Raw genomic sequence first — 13,533 nt, forward strand, 5'->3', positions numbered from 1 at the left:
GCTGAGGCAAGAGGATCAGTTGAGCTCAGGAGTTTGAGATCAGTCTGGGCAACACAACGAGATCCCATCTCTACAAAAAAATTTTAAAAATTAGCCAGGCATGGTGGCACATGCCTGTGGTCCCAGGTACTCGGGAGGAGGATCGCTTGAACTCAAGATTTGGAGGCTGCAGTGAGCTATGATTATGCTACTGCATTCCAGCCTGGGGGACAGAGCAAGCCCTATCTCTAAATAAATAATAATAATAAATAAAGTTTCAGTCTTATGAGTTTAGAGCTTTAGCAGCTCTGCTTCTAAAGCATCAAGGGAAAGTTCATGAGTCCATAATGACAAGATGGTTAAAACATCCCACTCCACCCCACCGGAAAACTTGGTGGTAACAGCAGCAACCCTAGAAAAATGCCCAGGGGAGACATCGGGAATCCCAGGGGCCCAAAGTCATGGCTATCTGATTCTGCTGCCTTTTCCCATAAGGAGTTCATCTCTCTCCCACCAGTCTTGGAGGCTTCTAGATATTATAGTCCCTGAGGGATGTAGTAATTTTCTTACATCAGCACAAGGTTCAGCAAATATCAAAACATCTAACCTTTTAGAGCTGTGTTTTTCTATTTATTTGTACCCTGTCCTGTTTCAAAAAAGATTTAAGGTTGTTTACAACACCACATAAATGAAGTTAAACAACATAAATTAGAACACCATGAGAAAGGTGAGGCCAAGGGAACACAAGGGTAGGGACACAGAGGTATGCTAAGAGTGAACACCAGCGTGCAGTGAGGTTCCACGGGCTTTGGAGTGCAGGGCTTTTTAAAACTTGCTGAAGCTGCCAAACCAGTGTTGTGTTCTCACATCCCAGAATCCTAGCATTGTTGGGGGCAAAGCCCAGTGAAACAATCAAATACTGATCCCCAGGGTAGAAGGAGACCTCCTCCCTAATCCCACGCTCTAACCCACACAGAAAGCACCACAGTTCTGGAACCTGTGTAGTTCACTGGATAAAAATATGAAATTTAAAAATGCATGTAAGGAGAGGTTTTTCAAGTGTTTTGTCTGTTTTGCTGTGGAGCCCCAGAAATCTGAGAGCAATTCCAGCTTCCTAAGGAAAGGAGGTAATCCTAGGGTCAGGAGGAGCTCATAAAGCTGTTGAAGCTACCCTGAGCTGAGGAGTGGGTGAGTCAGCCCAGCCCATGGAGGGGTGTGTGAGGATGCCTTCGAACTTCCTCACCCCTCTCAGAAAGGCTGCACCTGAGCCGCATTCCAGAGACGTTTGGGATACCAACACACGTGGGAAACACACATGAAAACAGATCTCAGCCCTCCCTCCTCCCTGGGGCCAGCAGAGGAGCTCTAAGGAGCTTAAAGAGGAAGAAGACTCCCACCTTCCATACCTTCCTCTGCCCTGGCAGATGGAAGGGAGAGTTACCCGGGTGCAGGGGCTGACCTCTCAAGTTAAAAGCTCAGGTTTCTTGTTCTTGGTGCCCAGGTTTGCTAAACAGCACCATCTGCTGCCTCAGAAGTCATGCAACTGGAAAGTAGCAATGCACATGTGAACCTTCCAGGTTCCCGATTAGGGTGCGCCCGTGAGACTCTCCTGAAAGGCAGAGGGCAGGATACACCTGCAGGCCAGCTTTGTGCTCCCTCCTCCCGCCCTTCCAATTAAACTCACTTTTTTTTTCTTTTTCTTTCTTTTCTTTTCTTTCTTTCTTTCTTTCCTTTTTTTTTTTTTTTTTTTTTGAGACAAGTCTCACTCTGCTGCCCAGGCTGGAGTGCAGTGGCACAATCTCAGCTCACTGCAACCTCCGCCTCCTGGGTTCAAAGCAATTCGCCTGCCTCAGCCTCCCGAGTAGCTGGGATTACAGGCGCATCCCACCATGCCCAGCTAATTTTTGTATATTTAGTAGAGACAGTGTTTCACTATGTTGGCCAGGCTGGTCTCAAACTCCTGACCTCAGCCTCCCAAAGTTCTGGAATTACAGGCATGAGCCACTGTGCCCGGCCCTTCAATTAAACTTACCCATTTTCTATAGCTTTACACTAATTCCAGCACTGGCACCATCAGTGATCCCACCATCATTAACTTACCATTGACAAAACAGGCCCTAGACCAAAGTCTGTCATTGAGCTTCTGCACTTTCTAGAAGGTAGGGATGGGTAACTGCCCAGGGTCTGGTAGGGTAGACCCTAAACATTCTCATGGAGGATATGATGGCCAGTAACTAAAAATTATGGTGAAGGCCAGGCACAGTGGCTCACGCCTGTAATCCCAGCACTTTGAGAGACCAAGGCAAGAGGATCACTTGAGGCCAGGAGTTCGAGACCAGCCTAGGCAACATAACAAGACCTCACCTCTAAAAAAAATTTAAAAATTAGCTTGGCCTGGGCTCACCCCAGGAGGTCGAGGATGCAGTAAGCCATGAACGTGCCACTGCACTCCAGCCTGGGTGGCAGAGTGAGATTTTGTCTTAGCATTTAAGTGTCTTACATTTAAGTTCAGTAGTGTTACGTACACTGACGTTGTGTAACCAATCTCCAGAGCTCTTTTCCTCTTAGCCCCAGTAACATTTCTAGGCCATTCTCCCCCTCCTCCCATTCCAACCTCTATTTCTGCTGCAATCCACAGAGTTCTTCTTGGTCACCATATATCTTTCATTGATACCATGAATCTTTGTGAAGCTCACAAAACATGCTCCTGTTCACTTAGTCATTTCTCACTGCTCACAGACTGACTTTAAGTACTGGCTGAATTTTTTTTTTTTTTTTTTGAGACGGAGTCTTGCTCTGTCGCCCAAGCTGGAGAGCAGTGGGGTTCAAGCAATTCTCATGTCTCAGCCTCCCGAGTATCTGGGTTTACAGGGGCACACTGCCACGCCTGGCTAATTTTTGTATTTTTAGTAGAGACAGTGTTTCACCATGTTGGCCAGACTGATCTCAAGCTCCTGGACTCAAGTGATCCATCCCTTTTGGCCTCCCAAAGTGCTGGGATTACAGGCGTGAACCACCTCACCCAGCCTGATTTTGTTTCTTTCTCTCCCTGACCCCCTTAGAGCAGTTATTATTTCCTTCTCCTGGCACCTCCTGACAAAGGGAAGGCAGGAAAAGGGGAAAGAGTTGAGGTCTGTTTTTCTGCTGCTGCAGCTCTGTGAGAGACCTCCCGGGAAGGTACTGAAGGTGTCATCCAGGCTACCTGGGTCTTGGGAACACTTAGGCGGCACTGGAAGGGCATCTCTGCATCCAAGAGCCCCTGAGATTGTAGGCAAGTGTTGTGTGCATGTGAGAATATATATCTTTCTAGACAGACAGTTGCTACCTTTCATCAGATTCTAAAAGGTTCTCTGACCCAGAAAACGTTAAGAGCCACTGATATCCACCATTGGAGACTGGCATCAGGACTTCCATGTATCTAGCTCCTTCCTTGAACAATCAAGGGCTGTGAACCACACGATGCCCAGTGGTACCCCCTGCTTCGTATGTGCCCATGGTTGTGGAGGGAGAGAGTGAGGACATTAGAAAGTACAGGGGCATCACAAAAGGGAAATTTAAGCAAAGAGCTAGGAAGAAAGATTGAGTGGGATCGTGAGATAAGGATTCTCATCTGCAGACATTCTTGGGGAGCCAGATAAATGAAGAGGCTACACAGCAAACCTTTCATGACCCACAGTGGCTGTCGTGGCTTCTTGAGTTCCCTCCTGGGGACTTTAGTGATGAATGAAACTTCTAGAAATTCTGGAAGATTTCTGCTAATAATAACTCTTACTGAGCACTTATCATGTACCAAGATCTTTTTTTTTGTTGTTGTTGTTTTTGAGATGGAGTCTCGCTGTCACCCAGCCTGGAGTGCAATGGTGCAATCTCAGCTCACTACAACCTCCACCTCCTGGGTTCAAGCAATTCTCCTGCCTCAGCCTCCCAAGTAGCTGGGATTACAGGCACGCACCACCATGCCCAACTAATTTTTGTATTTTTAGTAGAGACAGGGTTTCACTATGTTGGCCAGGCTGGTCTCAAACCCCTAACCTCAAGTGATCCACCAGCCCCGGCCTCCCAAAGTGCTGGGATTACAGGCGTGAGCCACTGTGCCCAGCTGTGCCAAGCTCTTTACATAAATGATCTTATTCATCATCACCACAACCCATAAAATTAGGGATTTTTTTTTTTTTTTGAAACGGAATCTCACTCTGTCACCCAGGCTAGAGTGCAGTGGCACCATCTCTGCTCACTGCAGCCTCTGCCTCCCGGGTTCAAGCGATTCTCCTGCCTCAGCCTGCCAAGTAGCTGGGATTACAGGCGCCCACCACCACGCCCAGCTAATTTTTGTATTTTTAGTAGAGACGGGGTTTTACCATGTTGGTCAGGCTGGTCTCAACTCCTGACCTCAGGTGATCTGCCCACCTCGGCCTCCCAAAGAGCTGAGATTACAGGCGTGAGCCACCAAGCCCGGCCTTAAAGTAGGGATTTTTACCCCCATCTTACAGAAGAGAAAACCGAGCCTTAGTGAGAATAGAGAACTTGCCCAAGGCTCCACAGATCAATGCAGAACACAGATGTGAACTCAGGTCTGTTTCAGGCCAAAGCACAGTCTCCTAACCACTAGACTATCCTTTTTAATTGTAGTAAAATGGAGAAATGCTAATTTTTCTTAAGCACAGAACATACTCCCACTGACCAAGGAAATCCACTTTCGTTGGAGGAATACTAACTAAGCCACTCAGCTGTGTATCCGGGGAAGTGACACCCCCAGAGGTCGTGCTCTCCAAACTGCCTTCTAAAGGCAGGATTATATTGAAGGGACGGTATAAGCTTGGGGTCTGAGCTGATCTGTTCAAGGCCATTAAGAGATGTGAGAGATTCTAACAGAAACAAGCAAGAGGAAGAGGAGGAAAACAAGGCCACTGGTAGATCAGGGGAGTCTAGTGGGGATTTATTAAATTTCCCATATGGGGTAATCCACTTCTCCATGTTCCCGTGACAGCTTCAGTGCTGTGGTGTGGGACCAGTTTTGCAGGAACTCTGGGATGTGCTGAGTGTGTCTCAAAGAAGGGATAGCCCAGGCAGCAGTGGGAGGCCCGCCCCCACTCAGAACTCGGTATTTATTGTTCTGAGTGCCAGGCCCTGGTTTCTTCTAGAAGTGTTATAATTTTATGTTTTACATTTAGGTCTATGATCAGTTTTTAATTAAATTTTATATATGGTGCAAGGTATGAATTAAAGCTCTTTTCTTTCTCTCTTCCTTTCTGAATTTCTTTCTTTTTTTGCGTGTGTTTATCCAATTTTTACAGCACTATTCATTGCATTGCCTTTGTATCTTTGTCAAAAATCAGTTGTCCATATGTAGATGTGTTTATTTCTGGACACTCTATTCTGTTCCACTGATCTGTTTGTCTATGTTTATACCACACTATCTTGATTACTATTGCTTTATAAGACTTGAAATTAGATAATGTTAGTATTCTGACTTTGTTCTTTTTCAAGATAGTTTTGGCTATTCTAGGTCTTTTGCTTTTCCATATGAATTCTAGAATCAGCTGTCAATATCTACAAAAAATACCTGGTGGTATAATGCTTGATTTGAAAACCTGAATTTGTTCCAACACTATTAATATGTTAGGAAACAGTTTGAGCATAACTTATATGTGATTTCTTCTGCAAGAAAGTGAATACAGACAACTGGCACCTAGTTAAACAGAGCCATGTAGGAATATACAACACAAAAACAACTCCCCTCCATATCTACCAGCTACTTCAGTTCATGTCATCTGATATAAGCCACACTGCTATGGACTGAATTGTGTCTCAGAAGTGGAATTGCTAGATCATATATATTTTTTTCATAATAGACATTTACAGCTATAAATTTCCTTCTAAGCACTGCTTTTACTTTCTCTCATAAGTTTTGGTATGTTATATTTTCATATTTGTTCATCTCAAAGTATTTTCCAATTTCTCTTGTGATTTCTTCCTTGACCCATTGGTTATTTAGGAGTATGCTGTTTAATTTCCATGTATTTATTAATCTCCCAACTTTCCTTCTGTTATTGATTTCTAATTTCATTCCATTGTGGTTGGAGAATATACTTTATATGATTTCATTCTTTTTAAATTTATTGAGGCTTGTTTTATGGCCTATACTGGAGAATGTTCACATGCACTTCTGTTGTTGGGTGGAGTGGTTTATAGACGTGTTTTAGGTCTAGGTTGTGTATAATGTTGTTCAAGTCTTCTATTTTCTTGTTAACTTCCTGTTTTGTTCTACCCATTATTGAAACTGGACTATCAAAAGTCTCCAACTATTATTGCTGAACTATTTGTTCTTCTTTTCAACCCCGACAGTTTTGCTTCATGTAATTTAGGGCTTTGTTGTTAGGTGCATATATGTTTATAATTGTTAAATATTTTGGATGTATTCCCTCTTATCTTTTTTAAATTACCATTATTTATATCTAGTATTGATTTTTTGTCTTGAAGTCTATTATGTCTGGTATTATGTCCATTTTGGTTTAAGTATTTGCATGTATACTTTTTTCCATTCTTTTAATTTCAGCCTATTTGTGTCTTTGAAACTAAACTGTGCCTCTTGTAGACAGGATATACATGGATCATAGTTTTAAATCTACTCTGCAAATCTCTGCTTTTTCAATGGAGTTTTTAATCCATTTACATTTAATGTAATTGCGAATATTTTTTTTTTCTGAGATGGAGTTTCACTCTTTCACCCAGGCTGGAATGTAGTGTCACAATCTCAGCTCACTGCAACCTCCACCCACCCCTTCCCCACTGGGTTCAAGTGATTCTCTTGCCTCAGCATCCTGAGTAGCTGGGATTATAGGCACCCACCACCATGCCCGGCTAATTTTTGTATTTTCAGTAGAGACAAGGTTTTGCCATGTTGGCCAGGCTGGTCTGAAACTCCTGACCTCAAGTGATCTGCCCACCTCAGCCTCCCAAAGTGTTAGGATTACAGATGTGTGTTGCTGCGCCCGGCCAATAAGTTAAGATTTACATGTGCTATTTTGTTATTTGTTTTCTATATATCTTCTTTGTTCCTCTATTCCTCTATTACTGCTTCCTTTGTGGTTTCTTTTTTTGTATTTTTGGGTTTTTTTGAGGTGGAGTTTTGCTGTTGTTGCCCAGGCTGGAGTACAATGGTGCGATCTCAACTCACTGCAACCTCTGCCTTCTGAGCTCAAGCAATTCTCCTGCCTCAGCCTCCCAAGTAGCTGGGACTACAGGCACCCACCACCATGCCTGGCTAATTTTTTTTTTGTATTTTTAGTAGAGACAGGGTTCACCATGTTGGCCAGGCTGGTCTCGAACTCCTGACCTCAGGTGATCCGCCTGCCTCGGCCTCCCAAAGTGCTGGGATTACAGGTGTGAGCCACCATGCCTGGCCCCTTTGTGTTAAATAGACATTTTCTAGTGTGCCATTTTCATTCTCTTGTCATTTTTATTTATTTTATTTTATTTATTTTTTGAGACAGGATCTCACTTTCTCTCCCAGGCTGGAGTGCAGTGGCATGATCATAGCTCACTGCAATCCTGACCTTCTGGGCTCAAGCAATCCTGCTGCCTCAGCCTCCTGAGTAGCTGGGATTACAGGCATGCACCACCAAACTCAGCTAATTTTTTTCATATTTATTTTGTAAGGTCAAGGTCTCACTATGTTGTCCAGGATGGTCTCGAATTCCTGGGCTCAAGTGATTCTCTCATCTTAACCTCCCAAAGTGCTGGGATTACAGAAGTGAGTGAATGAGCCACTGTGTCCAGCCCCTTGTCATTTATTTTACTGTATTTTGAAAATTACTTTCTTATTGGTTGCCCTGGGGATTACAATTACATCTTGATTTATAAAAATCTAGTTCAAATTAATATCATCTACTATGGACTTAATTGGGTCCTCACCCCACTTCCAAATTCATATGTTGAAGTTCTAATCCCCAGATTAAGAGGTGATTAAGGTTAAATGAGGTCATAAGAATGGCCTTATCTCTCCCACTCTCTTTCTTTCTCTCTCTCTCTCTCTCCCATATGAGAACACAGTGAGAGGGCAACCATCTGCAAGCCAGAGGAGAGCTCTTACCAGAATCCAATCATGCTGCCCCTCTCTCTGATTTCAGACTTTCACCATCCAGAACTGTGACAAAATAAACTTCTGTTTAAGCCATCTCTTCTATGGCATTTTGTTCTGGCAGGCCAAGATGACTAATACATCATTTTAATTTCAGTTGTATGGAAAAACATTAGTCCTATAGTAAACCTATAGTAAAGCTGCCTATGGCTCCATTCCTTTCCCCAACTTTTGTGCTGTTATCATAAAAATTACATTTTTATATACTGTGTATAAATCAATGCTGATTTATAAGTATTGTTCTATGAAGTTGCTTTGTAAATAAAAACAAGCAATGTCATTTTCCAGCTTTCCTCTTAAGTTTTTTGGTAAGCTTATCATTTGCCCAACTGTTATCCACTGCCTCAGACAGCTGCAAAGTTGAAACGTTATCTCTAGAAGGTAGGAAGAAAAGAGAATTATGAACAAAAATATATTTATAATGTCTTTTTTATTTACCTGTGTTGTTGCCTTTACCAGTGATCTTTATGTGGATTCCAGTTACTGCCTAGAGTCCTTTCATTTCAGCCCAAAGGACTTCCTTTATTATGTAGAACAAACACACTTGCTAAGGGCAAATACTCTGTTTTTGTTTATCTGGGAATGTCTTAATTTCTTCTTAATTTTTGAAAGATAGTTTTGTTTGGCTTACTGCAACCTCTGCCTCCTGGGTTCAAGCAATCCTCCTGCCTCAGCCTCCCGAGTAGCTGGGACCACAGATGTGCACCACCACGCCTGGCTAATTTTTGTATTTTCAGCAGAGATGGGGTTTCACATGTTGGCCAGGCTGGTCTTGAACTCCTGGCCTCAAGTGATCCATCTACCTTGGCCTCCCAAAGTGCTGGGATTACAAGTGTGAGCCACCATGCCCAGCCTCTTTCAATGTATTTTAAATAGCTGATTTGTCTAGTAAGTGCAATATCTGAGTATCCTTAGGGACAGTTTCTATTAGTTGAGTTTCTTTCTGTTTATGGACCATTCTTTTTTGTTTCTTTGTACTTCTCATAATTTTTATTATAAGAGGACATTTGAAGTAATACAATGTGGCCACTCTAGAAATCAGATTCTCTCATGCTTGTTGTCATTACTGCCGCTTGCTATTTTTTAGTGACTTTTCTCAACTAATTTATAAAGTCTGTATTCTTCATCATATATGGCTACTAATGTCTCTACTTGGTTAGTTTAGTGGTCAGCTAATGACTGACTAGAGATTTTCTAAAATGCTTGGAACCAAAATGTGTCCCAGTCTTTGCCAAGGGGCTCTGTGTGCATGTGGGGGCCTGCCTTCATCATTCAGGTGAGCAGCTGACAACTCTGCCTTATCCTTTACCTCATCTTGCACAGAGCCTCAAGGTCAGCCAGAGGGGAGAGATTAGTGCTGTTTTAGGTCTTTCCTGGGTATGTGCATAACCCTGTACATGCATGTGGCCCTGTAGGTTCTCAGGAATATTTTTGAGCTTTTCGAAACCCCTGTCAGTATCTCATTCCCCAGTCTTCTTGCTAAGTTTTTTGGTTAGCTTATCATTTGCCCAACTGTTATCCACTGCCTTAGACAGCTGCAAAGTTAAACCATTATCTCTCAGTGTTGCTGATGAATGTCCCGGGGAAAAGGCCTTAGCACCAAGTTAGCTCTTGTCAAACAGCCTTATGAGTGGGGTCTTCCAGGGAACCACCACACAGATCAAATAATGACAATTCTCTGGGAATGAGGCTTGAAAGAGTTTTGCCCCATTCGGCCCTATTTTGCCCCCTCTAGTGGCTGCCAGGCTACTGGTTTTCACCACGTTTGTACGTTGTTGGTTTTTTGGGGGTCGGGGTGGGTTTTTTGTGTTTTTTGAGACAACGTCTCACTCTTTTGCCCAGGTTGGAGTGCAGTGGCGTAATCTTGGCTCACTGCAACCTCCTCCTGCCATGTTCAAGTGATTCTCTAGTCTCACCCTCCCTAGTAGCTGAGATTATAGGCGCCCAGCTAATTTTAGTATTTTTACTAGAAATGGGGTTTCACCATGTTGGCCAGGCTGGTCTCAAACTCCTGACCTCAAGCGATCCACCTGCCTGGGCCTCCCAAAGTGCTGGGATTACAGACGTGAGCCACCGCGCCTGGCCGGCATGCTGTTGGTTTTAAGGCTACTGCATAACTGGAGAGAAGGGGATGGGACTAGAGCAAGTTAAACCAGCACAAAAAATACCCTTCAGCTGTTTGTCTTGAATAAACACTCCCCAGGTTGCTGAAAGCCATTGGTTAATTTCTGGAGTTCTGAAAATGTTGTTTCTGACAATTTACCAGTCTCTCACTGATTTTGCAAAGGAGAAATTTTTCAGTGGTCCTTACTCTACCTTTGTGGATGATATCACTTCCTCTCCCCATATCTTTACTTTCCTTCATACCCAGGCCAAATCCCATGTCCAGAACAGCAGTTGCTGCCTGCAGATTCTCATCTCTCTCTGGCCTGTCTCCTCAGTCATACTTTCCTGTAGAATCTCAGTCCTAATTACACCTCACTTCTCTCTTACTCTGAGTCTGCATATAAGTAGCTGAACTTTGCTGGAGAAAACCATGAACCTGACTCAAATAGACACTCAGCACAGGTGAGCAATCTTGTTAATCCTCTTCCCCCACTCTTAGTTAATCCTCTTCCCCACCCTTCAGGAGAAGCAGAGCAATGAGTCTTGGGTCCTGATGTTTCCATTTCTAGCCAGCATCACAGACTGCCTCTTCACTTCCTGCCCCTTGGATGCTAATGAGATTGACTCATCTTTATTGTTTGTTGTGTCTTTCTCCACATGCTTGTGAATTCTTTCAGTTTGCATTATTTGATTAATGATGAATAATTTCAGGTATTCGTGTTTTTTTTTTAGGAAATTGCTCACCTATGTCCTAAGCCCACTTTTCCATCAGGATCTTCTTCTTTATGTCATATATATATTGCAAATCTACTAGTTTTTGGTCCATTTGTGTTTTGTTTTGTTTTGTTTTGTTTACTTAGGAGCCAAATAGGAAATAATTGTCTAAAAGCAACAGTGAAATGAAGCAAATGAATCTGTGAATTAAATTGGTGACATGACCACACACAGGAACTATTCCAAATATCTTTAAAATGAGTAATTTAGCTATACATCCTTAGAGGGATATATTCTTTTATTTTTCTTTTTGAGACAAGGTCTTTCTCTGTCACCCAGGCTGGAGTGCAGTGGTGCAATCACGGCTGACTGCAGCCTCTGCCTCCCAAGTTCAAGTGAACCTCCCACCTCAGCCTGCCTCCCGCTGCCACACACCTGGTCTTGTCTGTCTCGTCTCGTCTCATCTCGCCTTATCTCGTCTTGTCTTTTCTTTCTTTTTTTCCCTCTCTTCCTTCCTTTCCTTCCTTCCTCCCTCCCTTCCTCCCTTCCTTCCTTCCTTCTTCCCCCCTCTCTCCCTCTCCCTCCCTCTTTCTTTCTTTCTTTTGAAATGGGGACGGGGTTTTGCTCTGTTGCCCACGCTCATCTCAAGTTTCTGGGCTCAAGCGATCCACCTGCCTCGGCCTCCCAGAGTGCTGGGATTACAGGCATCAGCCACCGTGCCCTGCTCCCCAGGAGGATATATTCTAAGGACACCAAGGCTGAAAAAAGTTTTTAGGCCAGACACTGTGGCGCACACCTGTAGTCCTAGCACTTTGGGAGACTGAGGTGAGAGGATCCCTTCAGTTTAGGACTTCGAGACTAGCCTGCACAAAATAGTGAGATCTCAGCTCTGGAAAAAAATTTTTTAAAGAAAATTAGTGGGACGTAGTGGCACATACCTGTAGTCCCAGCTACTTGGGACGCTGAGGCGGGAGGACTGCTTAAGCCCAGGAGGCTGAGGCTACAGTAAGCCATGATTGTGCCACTGCACCTCAACCTGGGCAGCAGAGCCAGACCTTGTCTTAAAAAACAAAATTTTTTTTAAATCATTTCCAGTAATCGTATCAGTATTGGTATTATTTTTCAGAGGCTATCGTATGGGTAATGTCAGTTAAAGCAAATAAGCGACTACACTTGTGTGGTCGAAACTAGGATTTTTGGTATGAAAGAAAGGAGATTGGCTCCCTCTCCCTCTCCCTCTCCCCCTCCCCCTCCCTCCCCCTCTCCCTCTCCCTCTCCCTCTCCCCACGGTCTCCCTCTCCCTCTCTCCCCACGGTCTCCCTCTCCCTCTCTTTCCACGGTCTCCCTCTGATGCCGAGCCGAAGCTGGACTGTACTGCTGCCATCTCGGCTCACTGCAACCTCCCTGCCTGATTCTCCCTCAGCCTGCCGAGTGCCTGCGATTGCAGGCGCGCGCCGCCACGCCTGACTGGTTTTCGTATTTTTTTGGTGGAGACGGGGTTTCGCTGTGTTGGCCGGGCCGGTCTCCAGCTCCTAACCGCGAGTGATCCGCCAGCCTCGGCCTCCCGAGGTGCCGGGATTGCAGATGGAGTCTCGTTCACTCAGAGCTCAATGGTGCCCAGGCTGGAGTGCAGTGGCGTGATCTCGGCTCGCTACAACCTCCACCTCCCAGCCGCCTGCCTTGGCCTCCCAAAGTGCCGAGATTGCAGCCTCTGCCCGGCCGCCACCCCGTCTGGGAAGTGAGGAGCGTCTCTGCCTGGCCGCCCATCGTCTGGGATGTGAGGAGCCCCTCTGCCTGGCTGCCCAGTCTGGAAAGTGAGGAGCGTCTCTGCCCGGCCGCCATCCCATCTAGGAAGTGAGGAGCGCCTCTTCCCGGCCGCCATCCCATCTAGGAAGTGAGGAGCGTCTCTGCCCGGCCGCCCATCGTCTGAGATGTGGGGAGCACCTCTGCCCCGCCGCCCCGTCTGGGATGTGAGGAGCACCTCTGCCTGGCCGCGACCCCGTCTGGGAGGTGAGGAGCGTCTCTGCCCCGCCGCCCCGTCTGAGAAGTGAGGAGACCCTCCGCCCGGCAGCCGCCCCGTCTGAGAAGTGAGGAGCCCGTCCGCCCGGCAGCCGCCCCATCTGAGAAGTGAGGAGCCCCTCCGCCCGGCAGCCACCCCGTCTGGGAAGTGAGGAGCGTCTCCACCCGGCAGCCACCCCGTCCGGGAGGGAGGTGGGGGTCAGCCCCCGCCAGGCCAGCCGCCCCCTCCGGGAGGGAGGTTGGGGGGTCAGCCCCCGCCCGGCCAGCTGCCCCGTCCGGGAGGTGAGGGGCGCCTCTGCCCGGCCGCCCCTACTGGGAAGTGAGGAGCCCCTCTGCCCGGCCACCACCCCGTCTGGGAGGCGTACCCAACAGTTCATCGAGAACGGGCCATGATGACAATGGCGGTTTTGTGGAATAGAAAAGGGGGAAAGGTGGGGAAAAGATTGAGAAATCGGATGGTTGCTGTGTGTGTAGAAAGAAGTAGACATGGGAGACTTTTCATTTTGTTCTGTACTAAGAAAAATTCTTCTGCCTTGGGATCCTGCTGATCTATGACCTTACCCCCAACCCTGTGC

The 13,533-nt window shown here is 45.7% G+C and overlaps 3 annotated features.

Moving 5' to 3' along the window:
- Window positions 983–1,498: an enhancer, noted in NCBI's record as "H3K27ac hESC enhancer chr8:37773378-37773893 (GRCh37/hg19 assembly coordinates)". NCBI's record gives its function as "activates a minimal SCP1, AML or CMV promoter by ChIP-STARR-seq in naive H9 embryonic stem cells {active_cell/tissue: H9 hESC(naive)}" and the evidence as "EXISTENCE:reporter gene assay evidence [ECO:0000049][PMID:30033119]".
- Window positions 1,114–1,408: a silencer, noted in NCBI's record as "tiled region #823; HepG2 Repressive non-DNase unmatched - State 8:EnhW, and K562 Repressive non-DNase unmatched - State 8:EnhW". NCBI's record gives its function as "represses a minimal TATA promoter and a strong SV40 promoter by Sharpr-MPRA in HepG2 and K562 cells {active_cell/tissue: HepG2 | K562}" and the evidence as "EXISTENCE:reporter gene assay evidence [ECO:0000049][PMID:27701403]".
- Window positions 1,499–2,015: an enhancer, noted in NCBI's record as "H3K27ac hESC enhancer chr8:37773894-37774410 (GRCh37/hg19 assembly coordinates)". NCBI's record gives its function as "activates a minimal SCP1, AML or CMV promoter by ChIP-STARR-seq in naive H9 embryonic stem cells {active_cell/tissue: H9 hESC(naive)}" and the evidence as "EXISTENCE:reporter gene assay evidence [ECO:0000049][PMID:30033119]".

This window comes from Homo sapiens, chromosome 8, assembly GCF_000001405.40.
Source record: "Homo sapiens chromosome 8, GRCh38.p14 Primary Assembly".
NCBI classification, from domain to species: Eukaryota; Metazoa; Chordata; class Mammalia; order Primates; family Hominidae; genus Homo; species Homo sapiens.